At 34.0% G+C, this 11,526-nt stretch overlaps 1 annotated feature.

Moving 5' to 3' along the window:
• Window positions 2,503–3,392: an enhancer, noted in NCBI's record as "OCT4-NANOG hESC enhancer chr10:55236154-55237043 (GRCh37/hg19 assembly coordinates)". NCBI's record gives its function as "activates a minimal SCP1, AML or CMV promoter by ChIP-STARR-seq in primed H9 embryonic stem cells {active_cell/tissue: H9 hESC(primed)}" and the evidence as "EXISTENCE:reporter gene assay evidence [ECO:0000049][PMID:30033119]".

Consider the following 11,526-nt stretch of genomic DNA (forward strand, 5'->3'; position numbering starts at 1 on the left):
AATTTCCTTATCTTGATAGGCTGTATTTACTTTTAATCTGATCATAAAAGAGAGTGACAGGCCCTTTTAGAATCATCCTTCAATTTTCTGGAAATCCCAATAAAACAATGACAATGTATACAAGGAGCCAGAAGATTGTGTCTTTCTCTTAATGGAGTTTTAAGACTTTGAACACTTTAATTACCTGTTTTATTACCTGCTGTAGTAGGCTTAATAGTGGTTGCCCAATAATGTTCATGTCCTAATCCCTGGAATCAGTTACTGTGTTATTTTATATAGGAAAAGGAACTTTACAGACATGATTAATTTAAGGATTTTGAGGTGTGAGACAATCCTGGATGCCTGGATTATCCAGGTGGGCCCAACGTGTAATGATAAGGCTTCTAATGAAAGGGTGGCATGAGGATAAAAACTAGCAGTGGAAGATATGACAATGGCAGCAAGAGGTTGGAGTGATGCAAGGAAATTACCATAATCCAAGGAATACAGGTGGCCTCTAGAAGCTCAACAAGGAAATAAAATGAATTGTCCCCTTGGTCTCCTAAAGGAACCAGTGCAGTTGACATTTTGACTTTATCCCAGTGAGGCTGATTTGAAATTTGAATCTCCTAAACTGTAAGGTAAACTTGTGTTCATTTAAGCTACTAAATCAGTGTTAGTTACAGAAGCAACAACAACCAAATATATCTGCCATATTCATGTTTTACTCTGATTAAACTCTAGCTTCAAAGGTGGCATGGGTATCAGGGTTAGAAGAAAAAAGCAGTGGAATATTGAAGATTTCTATTCTCCTATTTTTCATGATCTAAACAGATTCCATTAGATCATTCAGATAGCTACCTTAGAAGAATTAAATCACAGAATTATAGTGGGGAAAAAATTTACAGACTGTTTCTTCAAATGTTTCATTTTATAGTTGAAGAAACTGAAACCCAGAGAGGTGAATTTATTTTTCAAAAGTTTCAAAGGTGCCACAGATTCAGCAACCAGTGTTCTGAGTATTCAGAACGCCCAGTAGGCATCTCCTATAGAAAGAAAAGATGCTGATTTGCAAACTAAAATACAGTCTACTTGAAAATTTCATGTTGCCCTTAATTTAGCCTTACAGATACGTGAAGATTGTGAAGACTGAATAAAATGGAGATTTTAAATAAAAGTGTTTATATAAATTGTGAACTATAAAACAGCTGTTAGATTCAGTACTTTGATTTGTAAATGAAAAGATTTTCCCTTTGGAAACACACTACCCTATAAATTAAATCAATTTTGGGGGGAGATATTTTGCCCTTTATTGAACAGATCACGACATTCTTATTAGTAAAGCTGACACATTGCAGACTCTGAGGCATTTATTGACTAGCTCCCACTTCATTTTCTCGTAAAATGTGTCATCTATTTTTTTCATATATATTAATCCTCAAGATTGAAAAATGTACAAATACTGTGCATTTATCTTTTTCAGTTAAGGGATATTTGTCAAATTTATATGTTCTCTTTTTGGGGTACTTTTGATACTAATAAAAGTGGCTATCAGTTTTTAACAATGTGTTTTAATGCAAATACATCTGTGAAAGTCCATAACATGGCTGCCAAGCTGCTTTAACACCCTGCTGTAAATGACCATGTATGTAAAGTAGTGAATATATTATAGAAATCCTTTACATTTGATTTCACACAGGCACACTTTGGTTAACTTAAAGGACAGAGTTTGAAGGAAATGTCAACGTAAGATCAAACAGAAAAGGATATTACAACTTAGTGTTGACAGAATCCCTCTAAACCCTTTTGAAAGAAACAGTGTCAGCTTTCTGCAAGTAGCTAACCTAATACTGCTTGCTAGTCCCTGATGAATGAAGGATAGGACTCATAAAATGATCAGGAAAGAAAAATAGCAAATAAAAACCTCTTTTGTCCCAGAGCCCTCACCCTTCTCCTTTCAGATGCTTTATTTTCATTTTTTGCCTCTGTACACCATCAGAAATACACATATAAATCTTTATGTGTATATATATGTATAGATTATATACATGCTGTGTACATAATACATGTAGCTTGATTCCACCAGTAATGATGTATGTATATATGTGTCTGTGTGAGTGTGTGTGTGTGTGTGCCTAGTTATATTGCAGGAGCCACAAGCTAAATATCTACAAAGTTGAGGTACATAATAATGAGAAAAATGGCTACAATATATACATATTTGTGTGCTTTCTGAGTAATAAAAATTGCATCAAAATAAATCAAAGAGCATGAATGTCTGTACCATTTGAATCAGGAAACCCTTGCTCAGATATTTCCATATTTGATTATAAGGAATATGTTGCCAGAGAAGCAAAAATCAATGTTTCATGTAAAATCTCTTGGTTTTTTCACATGGGCCTACCTACTTTTAAAAAAAAGCACTACACTGGGTGCATAGAATATTTCTGACTGTCAAATGCTGCCAAATGTCTGCCAATTCAATACGTATCAAAACAAAGTAAAATCATATTCTCTCCAAATTGGTTTTATAAATTTAGTGTTATATGACTAAGTCATTTTGATGAGAAGAGTCAAACTGCAAAATATTTGAAGAGATTTATTCTGAGCCAAATATGAGTGATCAGTGGCCTGTAACACACCCCTCAGGAGATCCTGAGAATACATGCCCAAGGTAATCGGACTACAACTTGGTTTTATATATTTTAAGGAGACATAAAGCATCAATTGATATGTGTAAGATGTACATTGGCTTGGTTCAGAAAGATGGGACAACTGGAAACGGGCTTCCAGGTGATAGGTGGATTTAAAGATTTTTTGATGTGCAATTGGTTGAAAGAGTTATTATCCAAATACCTAGAATCAATAGAAAAGAATGTCTGGGTTACAATAAGGGCTTGTGGAGACCAAGGATTTATCATGCAGATGAAGCCTCCAGGTAGTAGGCTTCAGAGAGAATAGATTGTAAAGGTTTCTTATCAGACTTAAAGAGTCTCTTCTATCAGTCTTAAAATCTCTGTTTTAATGTTAATGCTGGTCAGTTGTGAGGCATGTCTGACCCTCCACTTCCCATCATGGCCTGAACTAGTTTTTCAGGGTAACAATGGAATGCCCTTGGTAGAGAGGAATGGTATATTCAGATGGTTGAGGGGCTTATAATTTTAGTTTTGGTTTATAGGCATAAGGTATTATCTTTTAATTTTAAAAGTCTAAATTAACTAATTTTTTTAGGCTTACGTTAATTAGTAATGGTAAAATTGAGGAGCTATTTGTACACAAAAACATTCAGCACCCTTCCAGATCGTTTAACAACTAATTGTTACATTGTTCTTGAAGCCAGTACACAGTTTTCAAACATAATAATCTACTACAAATATAAGGATCAGCCTAGTTCTAATACAAAGAAATAGCATTCTAGCCTGGGGTTTGAGACAGTGTAGGGAAGAGACTTGGTTTTGGCAGACAAAAGACATGAGCAGACTCCCAATAAGTCTTCTATGTCTGAGCATATTCCCTCCCCTACCTTCTTGCCTCCCTTAACAAGCTGACCCAAGTCACCTAGTAGAAAGCTACCCCTTCCTAACTTAGCTGACTAGGCTGAATTCCTAACCATAAAAGGAAGAACCTAATCGCTTATCTCCTTGAGTGATGCCTCCCAAGGTTGCTAAGGCAGGACTCTGACATTCCTGATAAGAATTTTAGCAGATGCAGTTGAAAACTCCCCACCTCTACATGCTTACACATCACTCTTTCCTCTGACTTAGCTTCCTTAAAATGACAAGAGCTCAGCCTTTCAGGAAGTTAACACCGGGATCTCTTTTCTAGTTGTTGGTTGTTGTTGTTGATTACCCAAATGTTTATCCTTTGCAATACTGTGGGGTTTTAAAATTATTTTTAATAAGTTTTGGGGGAACAGGTGGTGTTTGGTTACATTAATAGGTTCTTTAGTGGTGATTTCTGAGATTTTGGTGCACCCATAACCCAAGCAGTGCTCACTGTACCCAATGTGTAGTATTTTATCACTCTCCCCCACTCCCACCCTTTCCCCCAAGTCCCCAGAGTTCATTTTATCATGCTTATGCCTTTGCATCCTCATAGCTTAGTTCCCACTTATGAGTGAGAACATACTATGTTTGGTTTTCCATTCCTGAGGTACTTCACTTAGAATAATGGTTTCCAGCTCCATCCAGGTTACTACAAATGCCATTATTTCATTCATTTTTATGGCGGAGGTGATCCACCCCCCTCAGCCTCCCAAAGTGCTGGGATTACAGGCGTAATCCCGGTATTTATATATTACAGTATATATATATCCACAATTCTTTATCCACTCATTGATTGGTGGGCATTTGGGCTGGTTCCAGCATTTTGCAACTGCAAATTGTGCTGCTGTAAATGTTTGTGCAAGTTTGCAGCTGCTCCCTTGAAATTTCTCAAGCAGCAAACCTATTAAACCTTGTCTGAGAAAAATGTATGTTTGTCCTGGTGTTAATTTTTATTTACACGAGAGTCAGAGAACTTGGAGGCCCAAGCTGCAGTAACAAGTTGATATGTTTAATAATATAATATGGTTACTAATGAGGACAAAATGCTTTGTTTATTTGCTCCCTAAACATAGTAAATTCATAAGAATTAGATTATGCTTATATTGGTGGTTTATTGATATTAGAAAAGAGGTGTTTATTTAAATCTTGGTAAAAGTATTTCAGGCTCATCATTTCATGTATTCTTAATTTGCAGCAGAGAAAGAATATTCTTTTTTTTTTTTTTTTTTTTGACATGGAGTTTCGTTTTTGTTGCCCAGGCTGGAGTGCAATGGCACAATCTCAGCTCACCACAGCCTCTGCCTCCTGGGTTCAAGCGATTCTCCTGCCTCAGCCTCCCAAGTAGCTGAGTTTACAGGCATGTGCCACCACGCCCAGCTAATTTTGTATTTTTAGCAGAGACAGGGTTTCTCCACGTTGGTCAAGCTGGTCTCGAACTCCAGACCTCAGGTGATCCACCCGCCTTGGCCTCCCAAAGTGCTGGGATTACAGGCGTAAGCCACCACACCCAGCCTGAGGAAAAATATTCTTAAGGAAACTTGAAATATTATAAAATTTAGTAGTTTAGTTGTTATGACATAGATATTGCAATTCTAATTTGATTAATATACTAGGATATTTCAAAATAGCAGTTACATTTTTCAAAATTCTTAGAGGAATCATGATATCTGTTTGTTCTTGTTTTTAAATTATTTATTCATTCATTTATTTTATAAATCTCTTCCCAAAATGTATAGGTCAAGAATTTAGCGGCTTCCCCTATACACTGACTATAGCTAATAGTGCAAGGTGTGAAACTGATTTGGCTGAAATGTTCATTCACTTTAGCTCCATGAATCCAAACTCTACCCCAGTGAATGTTCCATGAGCCAAGACCATAGGTACAACAATTAGAATTCATTTCTTTTTTAAGTGACTTGATAAATACACTGTTAGTCCTTTGAGATAATACAAGTGGACATTGAATCCAATTGAACATTATTATATCAATGATGCGAAAAGAACAATGATGCTTGAATTTTCAGCAGGTACAGATACTGTAAAAGTGCACATTCCTCAATGAACTTAGATACCCCTTAAAAGTGTATGTCAGCCACAGACAATTACTAAACATATGCAAAGACAGACACAAAGCCACTTAATGGAGCTGCCCCTGCCTTCTTTGTCCTCTGAATTTCTTTCTCTTCCTGTTGAAAGCCTTTCCAAATTCCTTCCTTCTACCTTGGGAACGTTTCTTTAGGCATTCAGTACATCACATTTTTCAGAAGCTTCCCCCAGACTTGTTGTCTAAATTAGGCAACTATTAATTCTACTGTAATCTATAGAATATGTTTAGGTGATGGCATGCAATCTTAGCTGTGTTCACTACATTTTGATGCTGGGTTCACTATCTTTGAAGCAGTGAGTGACAGATATTTCAAGGACCATAATGAATTTGATAATATATCACTTAGCTGAGATGCCCAACAGAACTTTCTTAACCAGTCTGCGTGTCACCAAAGGCAACTAGTTGGGGTTGGAGTGCCTCAGTGGCCAGAGGGGATTAATAATCTAAGGTAAAACTGAAATCTACGCATTGGACATCTCACCTAGTCATAGCCTGAAATTTAACATATAGAACACTTCCTCTGAACCATTATTAAGCATTAAAAATATGCCAAGAAAATAGTTAAAATTATTCATGAATATAGATGCATTGCACTTTACATTTTTCTCATTGATATTTAAAAAAAACTTTCCTTTTTTTATGTTTCTGAATTCATAGATATGGACATGAAGCTTATATATAAAATCAATAGTTTTTTTAATTTTAGAAAATTTTTAAACGTATTTATTTCTTTAGGTTATGTGAACTATAAATATTTCAACTTTTTTGTTTGTTTCAAAGCATTAAGTTCCAGTATCTAACAGATATGTTCGTGTGTGTGCACATATATGTGCTTATATGCATTTGTATGCATGTCTTTGGGGAGACAGTTTCTTCCTGATAAATATAAATAACTAAAGCTAAGTTTGTAAAACCCAGAAGAATCAATTTTCCCCTATTCACTTCAGTGAGATTTGCTTAAAATATCTACTATTACTAGATACAAAAAACTCATTCAAAGATCCACTATCCCATTCATGTGCAGATCCTCTTTTCTCTCGGTAGGAAACATATAAAATTAATCCATCCATTTGAAGATGTTCTGTGTTTATTTTTAAATTAACATTTCAAACAAGTAATATATTATTAACCTCCTGTTTTAATGTAATATTTCTAAGTATTACTACGTGTACAGCTGCATTATTCTTTTGATATGTATTTATTTAATCTTTTAAATTGAGTGACAAGTTTCCCAGCATTAAGACATTTTAATAAATCCTGAGAATTTTGAATCAGAAAATAGATATTTCTTTCCCAAGCAATTATAAAAATGATTCTGAAAGCATTTCATATAGTCTTAAATTTAAAGAATTACCTCTGTAATAAAAAATTTTGTTATCTAAATTTCTTTTCAACATTATTTAATTCATATAAATTATTTTTCAAAACCTTCCTGTGAAAAGGACTTAACTTTTGGATAAAATTCTACAATGTTATCTTCATCTAGCTTAATAAAATTAGCTTAAAATGGTCTCAATAATATTTTCATAATAATTATAATAAGAGTGATACGATGGCTTGGAATAATGGATTTTCTGAATCCAAGATAATAGTATTACATCCTACAAGTAATTTTTTGTATAATCTTTAGCCACTGCTTACTCTTACCATTTTAATAATTTCAAAAACTTCAACTCTCAAGCAATTAACTAAAACAACATCTAGCTAAAAGTCTTTGTGCTAATTGTCTCATCAAGTTGGTTAAACTGAAAATCGTTTCCTAGAATCTTTTGTTTTGTTTTGTTTTGTATGTTTCTGGGCTATATTTGGTTAAAAGAGAAACTAGCACAAAATTTAGGAGTGGGCAAGAAATCAGAGATTTTTATGTATAAGCAGTATTTGTGTTCAACTACAGTGATATCAGATATAAAAGTGCTTCATGTCTACGTTGTTTTTAATCTAGCTCCTCTTCCTAATGGCTGGCTTTGCTAACCATCAGCAGCCCCAGAGACCATGCATACAAGCCATGTAGTCAACCGTGGGGTTTTACCTGCAGTAAAAGCAGGTTGGAGAAAGATTGTAGCACTGGGCAAAACCTGGCAGGACCAAACTTCACTTCAGAAAACTCAGCTTTTCTGTGATTATACATTTTTAATCTATAAAATAAAGGTAATATAACTATCTTAAAATGTATTTTGAGATTAAAGTACTAATCATTTGAAAAAGCAAGTTATATACTACATCACATTAAGTTTATGTAATCAGAATATTTTTTACTATTACTAGCTTCCTACCAACATGCTACTACCCATAATAAAGTAAGTTATTTTGTCTGAATTGGGACTTTTTAATTCAAATCATCCAAATTGTTTTATGTTAGATTTTATTCATTTATTGAAGGCTATTCTCTAATATGAGACATTTCATTTGACATTCCTGACATGGTCTATACTGTACCAAGCCCCAAAAGGGTAAAAATAGAAAGCAACACTATAAAGGCAAAGTTCTTTTTTGGTGAGCGGGAGACTGAGAAATTAAAGCCCCCAAATTGGTAATGAGAATAATCATAATATGATAATCTCTAATATGATACAATAAAATAATATATGTTAAGTCCTTGTTGCGGATTAAATTATGTCCTTCAAAAAGATATGTTGAAGCCCTACCCCCTGGTACCTATATATGCACTATTTTTTTTTGGAAATAGGGTCATTGTGAATATAATCTAGGTAAAATGAAGTCATAATGGATTAGGGTGGGTTCTAATGTAGTGACTAGGCTTTTCATCAGAGAGACTCTAGGGATATTTACATTCAGAGACACAGATGCACAGGGAAGAAGGCCATGTGAAGGCAGAAACAGAAATTATAGTGATGTTGCCATAAACCAAGGAACTTGCTGCCAAATTGCCAACAACAGCCAGAAACTAGTTAAGAGGCAAGAAAGGATTCCTCCCTAGAGCTTTCAGTGAAAGTATGGCCCTGCTGACACCTTCATTTCAGAAGTCGAGTTTCCAGAAGTGTTAGATAATAAATTTCCATTGTTTTAAGTCACCAGGTGTCTGGTAATGTTTTACCACAATGCTAGGATAGTAATATAGCCAGTTTTTACAAAGTATTCTCATTAAAACACTAGATCTGCAGAATTTAAATAGATTACTTCAGGGGAAAAAAGGTTTACAGTCAAATAAATGTGCAATAACCTAGGTTTTATTTATTAAATTGGCTGGGTTCAATTGTTGCATTAAAATGCCATGTGTGCATTGTTAAATTTATATGGCATTTTCAAAGCCATTTGTAAAAAAAAAAATTTAATGTAGTATTCATAGAATTGGCTATCTTAAATGATAAACTTTTGAAAACACTGCTAGAGCCAACTTAAATTCTAAAAGCAAAATGTACATCCAAATAATATTTACACAGAATTAAGCAAGTCTTATCCCAGAATTATAAAATTCTGGTAGAATATTAGGCAATATATTACTGTTATAAAATAGAAGCATAAATATGACAAGTATCAATGTTGTAATCATAGGTATGGTGAAGATATTCAACAGAAAATAAACAGGTTGTTATCTATAAATTCTGTAGAAATAAGAGAATGTTAATAGTAAAGCTCAAGAACCATCTTACTATCCTCAAGAATATGAAACTTGCTATCAGTGAATTTTTATTACCAAATATTGATCTGAAAATTCCAGTCAATGCAATCACCTAAAACATAGTAAGAGTAATAATTATTCAAAATGAGGATATAGAATTATCATGTTAAAAGAAAACCATTAGACAAGTTAAATTTAACGAAGTTTTTAATTGAAGAAAGAATGATTTGCTAAAGGACAATCCTCCTCCTTCTAAGCAAAACAGGTTCACAGTGACTCTGGGACTTTCCCATGGTTGGAGATTTGGCTACTTGTTACAAGAGTCCATTCACATTTCCAGTTAGATTACAGTTCACTATGTATGGAGAAACCTTTAGGCTGAACTTAAAATATATAAGGAAGCAGCTTTAGGCTAAACTTAATTTAATAATTCCTCCCTTTTGGTTAATCTCTCAAAATTAAGAAGTTGATCAAAACTTTAGGCATTGATGTCATTCTTTCACCGTTGTAAATGAACTAACTTCTTCTCAATTCCACTGGAAAATAGCAAAACAGTGGGTTTTGTAAGGTGAAAACAAGCAAAGAGAACAACGGTAAAAAAAAATAATAATAATAATAACTGATTGGTTTCTTCAGGTCACTTTTCTATAAAGGTTAAAGCAGAGAGGACTTCCTTATTATTCTGTGATCTCCTGTTTTCAGAAGACAAAATAGGTTTGTTTTGAGATCTCTTTGCTTCCTTAGAGTTTCCAATTTCTTATATGGCATTTAGCAGGAATGACTCCATTTTGTTTGGTCTGGTCTGTTAGGGCCTAGTGCTTGAGCTCAGTCTAAAATCATGGCCTCTTATAGTTTTGTTTAATAATCATTATATGCAGAAAACATGATCTCCCCAAAATACCTTAGAGAACCAGCTGAAAAATAATAAAATCTAATGAAGTCATTATGATATTTGGTCAATTTTAATGATATATTTAGTTGTTTTTTAATAATGGAAAAAGATACAAACTATATATAGTAGGTAAGTAAATATATAACATAGTATATAGTGAATATATAAAATACAAGTTTTATATTAAATTATCTTAGAAAAAACTAGAAAAGAAATCTAAAGTTTCATATTAATCTTTTTGTTAAGCAGAGGTATAATAAGAGGTGATTTCCTTAGGGCATTTTTTCAAATTATTTCTGTGGAATATGGACTAATTATACACAAAAACACATATATAATTATTTATATGATTTATGAGAAATGAAGTTCCCATAATATGAGTTGTATTATTTTTCATTTAAATGACACATATAAATGAAATTTCATTTAGTAAACATGAAGAATAATAGTTGTCTCATTTCAGCTATAAATTTCTCCTACCATTTTCCCTTTTCTTTGTCCTCTTGTTTCTCCTCCCATTCCTCTCCCAAGCCCCTCAATCCTAGTCTTCTCCTTTTTGTTCTTTTTAAGTAACATTAACATGGAAAAAACTTCATATTTGAATACCAAGTTTTTTTGAGTAATGTCAATTATTTAGACTGGCATTCAAATGTGGAGTTTTAGATTTTGTGCATTTTTTTCTACATTGCATGAATTATAGAGGAAAGTTTTCTGAATGGTAATACTTGTGTTCTTCAAAGGGCAAGATATAGCTTTGCATAATCCCTGGCGGAGGTCCATTTTCCATTTTCATCTGCTTTTTCTCTTCCCTTTTCAGCTACCTTTAAGGTTAGGATGATAGGACTAAAACAGTTGGGCAAGTACAGACTTAAGAAAAAATGATAGATTACTGAAGAAGCCTTTGCTTTGGTTTAATTTTGTGTTAATGTACCTAAACCCCTAATCTGATTTCCTATGGGTATCTTAGGGAGAGTGACCCTCTCTTGTCTTCCTGGTTCATGCATAAAATTTCTTGGGGTTTCTTTAGACACCAGTTGCTATTCCCCTGGCTATGTCACTCGAGTGGGAAAATAGTCAGACAAAGATATTTTTGTGGCAATATCCATGTTGTAGTGATGTACTCAAGGCATACAATAAAGTAGATAGATATATGAGATACTGCCGAGACCAGCTCGGTTGCGGAGACCCTAACCCAGCGGCGCTAGAGGAATTAAAGACACACGCACAGAAATATAGAGGTGTGAAGTGGGAAATCAGGGGTCTCAACAGCCTTCAGAGCTGAGAGCCCTGAACAGAGACTTACCCACGTATTTGTTAACAGCAAACTAGTCATTAGCATTGTTTCTATAGTTATTAAATTAACTAAAAATATCCCTTATGGGAAATGAAGGGATGGGCCGAATTAAAGGAATAGGTTGTACTG

This window comes from Homo sapiens, chromosome 10 (genome assembly GCF_000001405.40).
Source record: "Homo sapiens chromosome 10, GRCh38.p14 Primary Assembly".
NCBI lineage: Eukaryota > Metazoa > Chordata > Mammalia > Primates > Hominidae > Homo > Homo sapiens.